Source organism: Homo sapiens, chromosome 4 (assembly GCF_000001405.40).
Source record: "Homo sapiens chromosome 4, GRCh38.p14 Primary Assembly".
Classification (NCBI taxonomy): Eukaryota; Metazoa; Chordata; class Mammalia; order Primates; family Hominidae; genus Homo; species Homo sapiens.
The window spans coordinates 30,358,719-30,371,908 of record NC_000004.12 but is presented as its reverse complement, the minus strand read 5'-3'; the positions used below and the strand labels follow the sequence as shown (position 1 = coordinate 30,371,908).

The 13,190-nt window shown below is 34.5% G+C and overlaps 1 annotated feature.

Annotated features, from left to right (window-relative positions):
- Positions 360 to 529: an enhancer, noted in NCBI's record as "experimental_78284 CRE fragment used in MPRA reporter constructs". NCBI's record gives its function as "activates a minimal promoter by MPRAs in K562 erythroleukemia cells, with activity observed for the non-introgressed 4:30373087 variant allele {active_cell/tissue: K562}" and the evidence as "EXISTENCE:reporter gene assay evidence [ECO:0000049][PMID:34662402]".

The window sequence follows — 13,190 nt, the reverse complement described above, 5'->3', positions numbered from 1 at the left end:
AGCAACAGAATACACATTCTTCTCAAGTACGCATGAGACTTTCTCCAGGATAAATCACATATGTTAGGTAAAACACAAGACTTAATAAATTTAAAAAGATTAAAAGCATATCAAGCATATTTTCTAACTACAACGATATAAAACTAGAAGTCTATCACAGGAGGAAAATTGGGCAATTTACAAATATGTGGAAATTAATCAACCCTCTCCTGAATAACCAATGGGTCAAAGAAGAAAGTAAAAAGAAAATTTAAAAAATCTTAAGCCAAATATGAAAACACAAAAAAATCAAAAACTAAGCATTTGGCTTGATATTTCTGAGTAATATATTCATTTGAAATGTCAGGATCTTATTTTATTTCTTATTGTATTATCATCTGGGCAATGGATATTTTTATTTCATTCTCTTTGTAGCATTCAAATGTCTTACCAGTAGTATGATTGCATGATTTGTTCAAGCAAAAATTCCTGTTAATAAATTATTATATCTTAATGTCTACATATGTATCATTTATCCACACATGCATTTTTTCCTAAAATAAATGTAATTATGTGTTTCCCATTATTTTTATTTTTTAATTATTAAAAGAGTACATATATGTGATAACATTCATATATATCATAGTATTTAATATATATATTTGATGTATTGAAATAACCCTATTTACCTCCCTAATCTAAATACAGTTTTAAAAAATCTACACTTTTATTTATTTATTGAGACAGAGTCTGGTTCTGTCTCCCAGGCCCAAGTGCAGTGGCATGATCTCAGCTCACTGCAACCTCTGCTTCCCGAGTTCAGGCGATTCTCATGCCTCAGGCTCCTGAGGAACTGAGATTACAGGTGTGTGTCACCAGGCCCAGCTAATTTTTGTCTTTTTAGTAGAGATGGGGTTTCACCATGTTGGCCAGGCTGGTCTCAAACTCCTGACCTCAAGTGATCTGCCTGCTTCGGCCTCCCAAAATTCTGGGATTACAGGTGTGAGCCACCCCTCTGCCCAAAAACCTACAATATTTAACAACTTTATGAAGTAAAAAAGCTCACTACTCAGAAATTAGACGCCAATTTTTATATGCTACTTATTTCTATCCATATGCTTACAGTTGTATTTAGATGGAATTGAGACATGAGAGTTCCCATGACCCCTTGGCAGGACTTGTGACAGGGGTGTGGCTCGCTCACTGGGCCACCACCAAGCTCAAACCCTTTGGGGAGAGGGAGCAGGCAGGTGAGCGGGTGCCCTGACTGGGGCGAGTGTTTTTGGGCTCCAGTCCCATGGCAGCGTCTAGAGGCGTGTTACAATCAATGCTCTTTTAGCAGTTGCCTTCCGTGTATCGCTAAGTGTTAAAACAGATCAGTGGAGAGTCCGGATGACAGCCTTTTACACCCTGCCCTCTTGGTCCCCGGGTTCTTGTTTGGCATCCAGGAAGAATCAGGTCGAATGACCGGTATGAAAGGTGATGAATGCAGAGGATTTTATTAAGCGGTGGAAGTGGCTCTCAGCGGAAGGAGAGCTGGAAAAGGGATGGTGCCGGGAGAAGGTGATCTTCCCCTGAATCCTGGCCATCTGAGGCCGGGCTCCTCCCAGAAGTGGTGCCATCTGAAGTTAAGCCACGCCCATCCATAGTCTCTGACGCTCAATTGCTTCTTGTCTTTTGGACGTTTAGCTGCTTTTCTCTCTGCCAGCTAAGGTCTGGGGTTTACACGGGCACAGGATAGGGGAGTGGGGCCGGCCAAAAAAGTAACATTTGGGAGGGAAAACGGGGATAACTCTTCTCATTTAGGGCCACGGTTTCCAGGCTTGAGGGTGGGGCCTTTGCTGGAGAACCGCTCTCTTCTACCCAGTATTTCCCTGCTTCCTGTTCCTATCAGAATCATTCTGAATGTATCCTTTTTTCTCAATTGGTATTGTTCTCATTTCCCAATAAACTGTTGGATCGATGCCTGTTGGTATAATATGACCAGAATTTAACAGTGCATCATTTTCCTCTCTTTCATCTTTATTATTTATACATTGATTAAAGCCTCCAAACTCTCCAAAATCAAATAAGGACAGGTACATAACTTCAGGAAAAGATGATAATTCAATATGTATTTGAAATAAATGACACTTTGCTTTTGGTTAAGTGTATTAAAAATACTTCAAGTGTGGGCACTGTGGTCTCATGACTGTAATCCCAGAACTTTGGGAGGCCCCAAGCAGGTGGTTAGCCTGATTTCAGGAGTTTGAGACCAGCCCGGGCAACACGGCGAAACCCTGTCTCTATTAAAAAACAAAAACAAAAACAAAACAAAGTCTTCATGATTTTTTCAATTGATACTAATATTAGAAGATATTTTCTGCTTTGGAGATGAGCTTTCCGAGGCATCTCTCTTTATTTGTCTTTACGTGTTATGGCTAATTTTTAACAAGATAATAATTTTTAACTTCTAAAATTTATTTTTGTTTATAATGCCAAATGACTATGTAATTTCATTGTTTTCAATTAGAACATCAATTTTTCCAGCATTGCTAATTGACTTCCTTGTTAATCTAAAATGTCATATCAGTGTATATTAATGTCTTAATTATAGAAATATTCCATAATGGACTGCCAATTCTCTATAATTAATTCATGTATTGATTTTCCACAATGTTTTGGTGATAATGAATGTGTTGTTTTAACAAGGCTGTTATATATCACTTATAATGACTACCATGATCTTCTTTTGTAATCTGAAGTTAAATTTTCTTTTTAGTTTTTTCATCTAGATACATTTAGAATCAACTTAAAAATTGAACAAATATTTGTATGTCTTCCTTGGGGTAATACCAGAAGCATGTACTATTGTTGAAAGAAATGATTATCTGTATTTGATTTTTCATTTAAAAACACCAAAAACATGATTAATTTCTAATTTCACTTAATTTTCTTAATCCTAAAGTTTATACTTTTCAGATACCTATAATTCAAACATCTAATCAACATTACTTGAGTGAAATTATGTTTTTTGTTACTGTTTCTCTAAGTGTTTTTAAATGATGCTTTTATTTTAAGAGTTGTGACAACACTGTGTCACCCAGGCTGGAATGCAGGGGCACAATCATAGCTCACTGCAGCCTCAAACTCCTGGGCTCAAGTGATCCTCCAGCCTCAGCCTGCCTAGTAGCTGGACCTATAGGCACAAGCCACTGTGCCTGGCTCAAATTATACTTTCTAATGAGTTACTTCTGATATAGCGCTAAACCACACGTATTTATGTATCATTTGTGTTTCATTGTGTCCTTTTATTAGACATTTGCGTGGATCTTTTAGGTCCTTACTAAATAAACACCTAATTTTGCTTATTAATAGCCCTGAAACTTTATTTCATATATTGATCATCCATCCACTAATGGCACACTCACATAATCTGTGTTTTTTCAGCTAATGTGACCCTGACTACAACTCCAAAGGTGTCCCCTTATTGGTGTAATCAATTTACAAATTGCACTTTGCATAAAACTGATATTGATTTATGAATGTGCATGGCACCAGTGATGAGTTCTAGGACTGATTTTTTTTTATCTAATCTCATGATTAATGTGGACTACAGAAGTCATCTGGACATAGTGCAGTCATTTTATGAACACGAACAGCTCCAGACTCTGGATGCAGCTAATATGGAAGATAAAGTCTAGCAAGAAAAATAAAACTGGGTCTGTAATGACATGATCACGACTTTGAATTAAAAATCAACCTTTAAGCATACTTTTCTCTAGGCTCTCCAATACAAAGTGTTTTAGAGTTTGAGTAGAATTTTTGTGTTACCTGAAACTAAATTTTTCTCATGAAAATGGTAAATCTCAAGCATAAGCATGATTTTGTAAAATTGAACTTCTCGAGTTTTCTAGGTTGTATATATGTAGCAGGCCCTCCATATCTGCAGGTTTGGTATCCCAGATTCAACCAACTGCAAATTGAAAATATATTAAGAAACAATACAATAATAAAAATGAACAAACATAAAACTACAGCAGAAGCACTAAATAGCATTTACATTGTATTAAGTATTACAATAATCTAGAGATGATTTAAAGTATACAGGAGGATGTAAGTTATATGCAAATGCTAAACCATTTAATATAAGGGATGTAAGTATCCCCAGATTCTGTTATCCATGCAAGAGTCCGGGAACCAACATCCTGCAATACTGAGGAACAAACATATATATATGGATGTGTGTATGTGTGTATTGGCGTACATATACATGCTAATAATATTGATTTCCCTCATTTCTAATAGTTATGTCTAAAATATTTTGAATAAACAATTATGTCCTAAAATGGTAATAGTAGATATTAGTTCCTCTTGTTTTTTTCTAGCTTTTTAGAATACATCTTTAGAACTCTATTATTAAGTTTAATAATGATTATTAGTCTAAAGTAAGTGTCTTTCATGATAGAAAAGGTTCCTTGGAGTAGTACTTTTAAGGTTATATTATTGTATTTTTTAAATGAGTAATGAAGTTATTTTGTTGAATTCATCTGAGCCCAGTTGAGGCCACAGATAGAGAGATACACTAGTTTCCATGACGTTCATTTATTCTCATAGTAATAGAATAAAGAAAAAAATATAATTATGGTAAAAAAAACTGTCCTAAAATTAACATCTGCTGTTTTACTTAAGGATTTTGTGTGTATATTCTTAAGTAGGACAGAACAAAAGTATACATTTCTAGCTATTACTGTAATCTTTAGGTGTGTTATTTAAAATTTGCTTTAAACATTCATTTATTTTGTAATATATTGCATAAACCAAAGAATATATGTAATATGAATGCTTCCTATGGTTGCAGTAGCATGAGATGTAGAAAAAATAACCATCTACTTAAAAATAGAAAATTACTAATGATGATGAATCTAAGCATATGTACATCTCTTGAAATATCTCATTATCCACCCAGCTTGCAGATAAAATGACTACCCTGAATATTGCACTTAGCATTTTTTAAAAAATTATTTAATTTTATCTTGCTTTTTTCCCTGATAGACATTATTATTTTATAGGTATTATTTACTTTTGCTTGGGACAGAACTTTACAAAAGTGATAATGCATAGAACCTTCTTCGATCTAATTTTTTCACTGAAAAAAATATTTCTGAGCTTCATATCAATGCATATAGTGGCAATTCATCCTCTTTCATCATATGATTTATCCTAAAACTGTTATATTTTCCCTTTTATATTTACATTATTTACCTATATAGAATTAATATTTATGTGTGATATGTGGTAGAAAGGATTCAATTTGTTTTTGTTTCATGTGGATAACCAGTTGTTCCAGCATTATGTATTAAATAATGTCTTATTTCCCAGTTACTTACAATGCAGCTCCACTATGTATGGAATTTTCTTTACTCTTTTATTTCCTTTTACACATAGGCCTGTTTCTAGTCTCCATGTTCTATTTCATTGGTCAATTTGATTATCTCTGTACCATTTTTTTCCTGGTTTAAAATGAGATTTTAGTCATGACATGAATTATACTTGGGACTTTGATTTTCCATATAAATTTTAGAATCATTCATAAAGTTTCCTGAAAAAAAGAAACCTAAGAGTTGTAGATATGTAATGATGAGTAACTAAGCTACTGATGGAATGATTGAGAATGTTCTGGAATAGAGTGAGGACAGGAAAGAAAAGAGGACTAAGAAAAAGCTCTTGGATTATTTAAGATCTGCTGATGAATGAGAAGTCAGCAAAAGGCAGTGAATAGAAATGATTATTGAATTCAAGATAAAATTCACATGAGTGTGATGTTACAAAAGGCCAGATAGTAGGCAAGAAATAGTTGTGAGACTTTAATAGATAAGAAAGGGTTGTGAGGAACAATAGAATGATCAAATACTCCTGCTGACATGAGAATTGACCCTAAGAATGTTGCACCTTGACAATTCTAAACCTGACTTTGGGAGAATTTTGAAGCTGTGACTCTGTGAGACTGTAATAAAATATACCTGTTAGACATTGATATTTTGATATTTTGAAATTGTGAGACTGAGATTGTAAGAGCTCTTTCTTCTGTCTTGCCCTACTCAGTTCCTAATTACTTTATGAAAAGAAATATCTAATCTTCCGATAATCTTCGTGTTTCCAATATGAAAGTGTTCTTCTTGCTTTGAATTTGAAAGTGTGTTCCAAAATGTTATCTGATATTTTGCTGGTTCCTGGTTACAGGAGCAAAGACAATCCTTTTCTGTCCATCTTTCATGTCCACCATCCCTGCCCAAACTTCAGCAACTGACAGGAGAGTGTCCTCTGCTCCCCACTCACCACTGTACAGTTTCATCTTTTAAACTTCTTTCTGTTTGTAACTCTGATGGCTTAAAAAATGTACTTTTGGTATATCTTGTGATTTCTTGTTATTTTGATGAAATTTATTATTCTATATATTATTCCATATCTTATCTGGAAACAAAATACTTCCACACAAACTTTTAGCATTATTCCATGAATTGTGTTAAGTTAGGTAGAAAAAATTTTATTTTAAGACTTCATTAAAATTTTCATTGTAGGCTGGTATACCTAACCTATTTTTAATTGTTCCATGATTACTTTTCAGGTTTGTGGAACATAAAATTAAATGCTTAAATCAGTAAGTTTGAATATATCTAAGTAGTACAGTTTTTATAACTTTAATTAGTTTTTTTAGTGGATTTGTCATAGACTGATAGTGGTATATGAAAGTCCTCTTCAAAATTTATTGTTTTGTCTGATCCTTGCATTGCAAACATTTTTTTTAAATTTAAAGTTGGCTGGTGCTATGTGTTTTGATACAGAAATCCAAACCTTTAGCACATATTATATTTTAATGCAAATAAAACAGCTATATAATTTTTTTGCTTTGTATTTTTTGCCTTTAATTTTTCTGATAGTAACAGAGCCATAACAGCCTCTCTCTCCTTTTTTTTTAATTTGGTGGGAGCAGTTGCCTTTTTCTCTGCTTTGAGTTTAAATTCTCTTTTTCAATTTGCTAGAATTATCATTTGTCACTAGAATATAATTAGAATGTTCCTACTTAATATCATGACATTTTCCTTTTAATAGTGTTATTTCTAAAATGTTAATATCTATTTTCATTAGAAATACATATTGAGATTTATCTTCTGTACTTCTTTATTCCTGTCTGGATTCTGGTACAGTTCTTAAGAATACATTTAACTATGACTTTTATAATTGATTTTATTGGACATGTAACAGGCCATTTTTTTACATGAATTTAGATAATTTTGAAATGAACAGTTTATTCCACTTTCTCTTGATTATTCCTTTGACTTGGAATATGTATACTTTGCATCAGACTTACTAAATTGTAGATTATTATTATAATATCTTCTTCCTTTGCCTTGACTTCTGTTTCCAACTTCATAATGTTGCCTTTCATATATATATATGCTAATAATATATAATAATATCTAATATATAATATAATATATAATATAATAATATATTATATAATATGTATAATATTTAATATATAATTATAATGTATTATAATTATATATAATATAATACATATAATATATAATATATTATAATTATATATAATATAATATATATTATATATATGTATTCAGTTTTCTGCAATGTCCATTTTGTTCTTCAATTCCTCTACCTCAATGGTTCTCAAGTAGAGGAAATTTTGCCCCCTCAAACAGTATTTGGTAGTTCCTGGAGATTTCCTTACCTTTCACAATTGAGGAATGCTACTGACATCTAGCAAAGAGAAGACACTGCAAATCATTCTACACCTTACTGTGCAAACCCCCAAAATGATTATCAGGATTGAACTGTCAATAGTGCTGAGGTTACAAACTCCTGTTTTAATCAGATATTGAGTTCTGTTGAATTATTTGCTCACTTCAACGAATTTTGTTTTAATCTTAGTCTTTATTTCAGCCTATTCTGATTTAGAGAAGATATGTTTCTCATATTATTGAAAGTACATAGATCTATTCTTGATTTTTTATGTCACTATAAGTAAAATATTTTCCCTTAAAAAATTTAGGTCACTTTTTACTAGTTTAATTTTATTTAAAATTAAAATCAATATATCCTTTGAATGAGGCTATATTGTTCAAAACTTATAAAGAATAGAAAACAGGGTCAATGTGTTTGGGAGAGAAACCACTGGTCTCATTGCTTGTAAAAGAAATTTCTGTTATTTATTTGCCCTATTAGATTTTGGGGAAGTACTATCCCTAACTATCAACCCAAAAATAAAACAGAAACCTATGATGTTTCAAAATTTTTCTCTTAGCTAAATACTATTTGGGTACATGAGATAGAATATGATTAGTTTATGTTTTTGTTATTCTGCCCAAATACTCTACAAAAATTAAAGAATACTTAATTTTCTTCACTGCCATCTGAAGTTTTGCCATTATTTTTAAATTTCCTGTTGGATTAGTTTGGGAGTCTGAGAGATGTCACATCATGCTCTCTTATATGATTCCACATTAATTTTATAAATCTATATTAAGGGAAATGACAATGTGTCTACTTTTTGAGAAGTACTACTAAATATCAGGCTTTTGATCAGAACTATACATACGTGATTTCTAGATATTTTTCATCAATTCTTGGGAAAGGGTTTGCTTATACTCAATTTACAAATTTAATTCATATCTCTTAGCTAACTTTTCAAAAATCACACAGTTATTATGAGGCTTAGCTGGAATTAGAATCATGTCTAATTGACTTCTGATCGTGGGCTATGTCACAATATTACATAATGTTAGCATTTATACAGAAGAGTGTTTGACAGTACATATGAAACTCCCAGTAGCAAATGAAAATTGTATGCCTGCCTCCACCTAGCCCCCTTTGCATTATGAATCTCCTCCTTGTCAAAACATGATATTTGTAAAATATGGCCATAAATCTAGAATGTTACCATACAAAACCAGATTGAGCTCTTGAAAGTGGTAGATATATATAGTTTTCATTTTGTGTGCTTATTTCATATTTTAATATAACAATAATATTACAAAATGTCAAGCTGAGTTTGTGGTTTGATTTGAATTTTTTTTTAGGCAAATATGGAAAATGTCTCCAGCAGAGGGACAAGCCATCCTTCATTCATGTTCTTTCTATTCCAGGTTAAAAGTGGTGCTTCTTTCAGGGCACTGAAATGGAAATGTTTTTGTGGGAGGAATAATACCTATTTTCGTGGGAGGAAAAGGTTCTGGATAATTCTTTTCAAAGATAATAAAATGAAGTTTTCCTATCAGGAATATATTCCAGAGATATTACTGTCAGGATAACACTTATGACATGAGCCTCTTAGGATTATTGCAATTATTTTGTCAGAGTGTTTTACTGATGGCTTGAATTTTCCTTTGAGGATAGATCATGTAGTAAAGATTTTCTTGTCAAGTAGATTTTTATTTGAATGGGTCCTGGTTCTGCTCACCGGGAGTGGTTCCCCAGTTCATAGTTTGCACAGCTGTTGGTTCCACGTGGTGGTACCACCTTCTTCTTCTACAATTTAACCTGACCATTTCAGAAAAGGGCATTGGGGTACATAGCATTTTTGGCAGCTGATCAAATTTCATTGTTTATTTTCTGTCTTGGGAAAGTTGGTGAGCTAGAAGTCTTTTTATGGATAATCTGAGTTTCCTGCAATTTTATACTACTTTCTCATTTTGTGGACTTACTATGTATTTGATTCCCATCTATAGCAACTCCCTCTGTTAGAAGCCACACACACCCCCAATCATATTTAAGACATTCTCCAATTTCTATGTTTAATTACTGGTTATTAGGGCATATTATGTTACCAATGTGTATTTTACCTTTAGCTTTGTATCACACTTTTCTAACTTAAAGGTTTTATTAGATCACATGACTATATTTCTTTCTGAGGTTTTAACTGAGTGTTATAGGCTTATCACATATTTGATCTTTATTCTGAAGCCATGTCATACCTAGATTTCGGTTTAGCCTTGAGTTGTATCCTAAATCAAGAATCTTTTGTTGCCTGGAGAAAATGCAGATTAAAAAATTGCTTTATTTTCTGTTAAAATAAAGCTCACCTAGAAAGTTCTAACTCTCTAATTCTGAATACAAACTCCCCAGTTCAGAGACGTGAGCCAAGATGGCTGATTAAACACAGCCAGGAGGAATAACCCCCACAGAAAGACTGGGACATTGGGAAGACAGGAATATTCTGAGCAAATTTTGAAGGGAAGACATTGTAAATGGATAGAAGGAGGATACAAATGCTGGGCTGAAGGGAGGGGAAGCTGGGAATGCTGTACAGGGCTGTGGAGCACCAAGACTCATTCTTGGCCTCCAGCAACTCCTGGGGAAGGAGTGAGTTTAACAGGTGAGAAGTGGCCCACTCTCAACAGGAACCTCAAGAATCTTAGCAGTGGGAGACTCCCATGGACGCTTGAGCTGATAAGTAGAGTTGCTTAAAAAGGTGGCAGAGGAAGGACTCTGGCTTGTGTGAAGCCCAGAGGATTTGATGCAGGAATGACTACAGTGAGCACAGCCATGCAGGCCCATTCTCCAAGGCTGGCCTTGCTCCTCTAGGAAGCTTTACCTATTAGGTGACTGTCACACCTGGATAGAGCAGGGCATTCTTGTCCATGGGATGGGGACAGTCTGATCTGAAAGATCCCTGTCTGCTGTACTTTCCTGATACCCTAACCTGGCTGTGCCCACTTGCATCACAGACTCAGATGTCAAATAGGGTGCTTACTGGGGAACTTCAAAATATCTCCTTTGCCAGTGGACATGCATGATCATCAGAGAACTCCTATATACCAGCCCACACTAACATGCCCCAGCCCACTTGCTTCTTCCCCCACCACAGCCTCCTACTGCTGCTTTCCCGTGATGCCTTCAACCACAGTGCCTCCCACCACTGTTTTGCCAGCACATGCATGTGACGGACCTTGACTCCCCTCCCAAACAGCATATGTGTGCGTGTGCAGCCCTCTGTCCCACCACTGCTAGTGGTGCAACCCCTCCTGAAGAACAGGTTCCTAACTTCAAAGGGCCGAAGAATAAACCTGGGGGCTCAGTACCAACACCCCAGAGACGGAACACGTAGCCCAGGAGTGCTAAGCTGAGCTGTGTCCCCCTAAAACCTTCCAAAATGAACCAGCTGACTGAGACCACTTTAGGCCACAATTAAACCCCTAAGTTTATCAATGAAAAATTAAAAAAAAAAAACCCATCCAAAGGACAGCAACTTCAAAGATTAAAGGAATATCAGCTGACACAGATGAGAAAGAGACAGTGCAAGAACTCTGGCAACTCAAAAAGCCAGAGTATCTTCTTACCTCCAAATGACTGCATTAGATCCCAGCAATGGTTCTTAACCAGGCCAAAATGGCTGAAACAACAGACATAGAATTCAGAATATGGATAGGAATAAAGATCACCAAAGTAGAAACCCAATCTAAGGAATCTAAGGAGTACAATAAAATGATACAGGAGCTGAAAGATGAAATGACCATTTTAAGAAAGAACCAAAGTGATCCGATGGAGCTTAAAAGCTCACTACAAAAATATCCTAATGCAATCAAAATTATTAACAGCAAAATTGACCAAGCTGAGGAAAGAATCTCAGAGCCTGAAGACTGGTTCTCCAAATAAACTCAGTCAGAAAGAAATAAAGCAAAAAAAAAAAAAAAAATAGAAAAGAATAATAAAATCTCTGAGAAATATGAGATTACATAAAGAGCCCAAATCTACAACTCACTGGCATCCATGAAAGAGAGAGAGAGAAAGCAAGCAACTTGGAAAACATATTTGAGAATATCATTAATGAAAATCACCCCGACCTTGCTAGAGAGACCAACATTCAAATTCAGGAAATGCAAGGAACCCCTGTGAGATACTATACAAGATAACCACCCCTAAGACACACAGTTAGCAAATTCTCCAAGGTTGACATGAAAGTAAAAATATTAAAGGCAGCTAGACAGAAGCAGCAGGTCACCTGCAAAGGGAACCCCATAGGGCTAACAGTGGACCTTTCAGCAGAAACTCTGCAAGCCAGAAGAGATTACAGGCCTGTATTCAGCATCCTTAAATAAATAAATAAATAATTTACAAGAATTTCATATCCAGCCAAATTAAGCTTTTTCATATTCAGCCAAATTAAGCTTCATAAGCAAAGGAGAAATAAGATCTTTTTCAGTCAAAATAATGTTAAGAGAGTTTGCTACCACTATACCTACCTTACAGGAAGACTTCAAGGTTGTAGTTAAGTATGGAAATGAATAACTATTACCAGCCACCACAAAAACACAACTAACTACAAAGACCACTGACACTATAAAGCAACTACACCATCACGTCTGCATAATAACCAGTTAATAACATGATGACAGGTTCAAAACCACATATATCAATACTAACCTTGAATGTAAGTGAGTTAAATTACCCCAATTAAAAGGCACAGAGTGGTAAGTTGAATAGAGACCCAAATTCTTCACTGTCTTCCAGAAATCCAACTCACATGCAAGGACAATCATATGCTCAAAGTAAAGCAATGGAGAAAAATCCACCAAGCAAATGGAGAATAGAAAAGATAAGGGTTGTTATTCTAATTTCACACAAAACAGACTTTAAAAAAACAATGATCAAAAAAGGCGAAGAAGGGCATTATATGATGAAAAATGGTTCAATTCAACAAAAAGACCTAATTTTCATAAATATATAGGCACCCAACACAGAAGCATCCAGATTTGCAAAACAAGTCCTTAGAGACCTACAGAGATACTTAAATAACCACAGCATAACAGTAGGAGACTTCAACATTCTATTAACAGTATTAGACAGCTCATCAATGCAGAATACTAACAAAGATATTTGGGACCTGAACTCAACAGTTGACCAAATGGACCTAACAGACATCTACAGAGCTCTCCACTCCAAACCAAGAGAATATACATTCTTTTCATCTGCACATGTCACATACTCTAAAATTGACAACACAACTGGTCATAAAACAACTCTCAACAACTTCAAGAAAATCAAAATCATACCAACTATCCTGTCAGACCACAGTGCAATAAAAATAGAAATCAATACCAAGAATATTTCTCAAAACCTTACAATTAAATAAAAATTAAACAATTTGCTCCTTATTGACATTTGAGTAAACAATGAAATTAAGGCAGAAAGCAAGAAATTATTTGAAACTA